This window comes from Homo sapiens, chromosome 2 (assembly GCF_000001405.40).
Source record: "Homo sapiens chromosome 2, GRCh38.p14 Primary Assembly".
NCBI lineage: Eukaryota > Metazoa > Chordata > Mammalia > Primates > Hominidae > Homo > Homo sapiens.
This window is the reverse complement of record NC_000002.12, coordinates 26,011,072-26,012,295: the sequence shown is the minus strand read 5'-3', so window position 1 is coordinate 26,012,295 and position 1,224 is coordinate 26,011,072. Positions and strand designations below refer to the sequence as shown.

The window sequence follows — 1,224 nt, the reverse complement described above, 5'->3', positions numbered from 1 at the left end:
GATAACTTCAAACTGATAGTCCACACCTGGGGTTACTGAATTCCTGCACACAGGCTCAGCTGTACCCGAGGTTCTAAGACCCTCCCTGTCTCATGCATACCAGGAAGACTTAAGAAGCTTTAGCTCAATCTCAGAGGATTTAGCAGATCAAATTTCCCTCTAGTCTGACCTGGCCCCTGAGAGGCCGTGTTTAGACTTAAGACCCACTACTTCTCTCACTGCTGCAGGTTTAGCCTCACAGCCTCAGTGTGTGTCACTCTATGCCCAGTGGGTTGGAAGGTCTTTCTACTCTAGTTAATGGGAACACCAGCTCTCCCCAGCCTGTGTAAGCTCTGCTGACGGATCCATTTCCTCCTCCTCTCCAGGGTTCCTTTCCCCAGTGTGTCAGTAGTTTCTTCACACACGTGACTGATTGGAACCCAAAGAATCAGGGGAAGCCAGGCGCAATAACTCACGCCTGTAATCCCAGCCCTCTGGGAGGCTGAGGCAGGCAGATAACCTGAGCTCAGGAGTTTGAGACCAACCTGGGCAACATGATGAAATCCTGTCTCTACAAAACATACAAAAAGTAGCCAGGTGTGGTGGCTTGCACCTATAGTCCCAGCTACTCAGGAGGTTGAGGCTGCAGTGAGCCATGTTCGCACCACTGCACTCCAGCCTCGGTGACAAAGTGAGACCCTGTCTCAAAAATAAAAAAGTCAGGGGACTCCTCTGCAGGTCTCCAGGAGCCCACGTTCTCTGTGCTATAGCTTGGACACTCTCTCCAGCTGGGACATCTGCTCTGCTCACCTCCTTGGTTTCCCTTCTCTTAAGGATCACTGTCCTGAGTTCCCTGTTGACCAATGACCAATGTCTTAAAACCACTGTTTCATATATTTCATTCAACTTTTTGCTTGATTAAGGAGAGGATAAATCTAGACCCCATTCCTTCATCATGGCAAAAAGTAGACATTGTCTTCTTCTGTTAAGTAATTGTTTTTATTGAAGCATCACACACATACACAAAAGCACACAAATCCTAAGTGTATACAGCTCAATAAACTTTCACAAAATAAACACACCTGTGCAACCACCTCTCACATTAATAAATAGAATATTACCAGCACATCAGAAACGCCATGCTCCTTTCCAATCACTACCCATCCTCACGGGGGAGCCACTTTTCTAATTTTTAACACCATAGTGCCTGTTTTTGAACTTGCAGTATGTATTCTTTTGTGTCTG

At 46.6% G+C, this 1,224-nt stretch overlaps 2 annotated features.

Annotated features, from left to right (window-relative positions):
• Positions 1-500: an enhancer, noted in NCBI's record as "H3K27ac hESC enhancer chr2:26234665-26235164 (GRCh37/hg19 assembly coordinates)". NCBI's record gives its function as "activates a minimal SCP1, AML or CMV promoter by ChIP-STARR-seq in primed H9 embryonic stem cells {active_cell/tissue: H9 hESC(primed)}" and the evidence as "EXISTENCE:reporter gene assay evidence [ECO:0000049][PMID:30033119]".
• Positions 501-1,002: an enhancer, noted in NCBI's record as "H3K27ac hESC enhancer chr2:26234163-26234664 (GRCh37/hg19 assembly coordinates)". NCBI's record gives its function as "activates a minimal SCP1, AML or CMV promoter by ChIP-STARR-seq in primed H9 embryonic stem cells {active_cell/tissue: H9 hESC(primed)}" and the evidence as "EXISTENCE:reporter gene assay evidence [ECO:0000049][PMID:30033119]".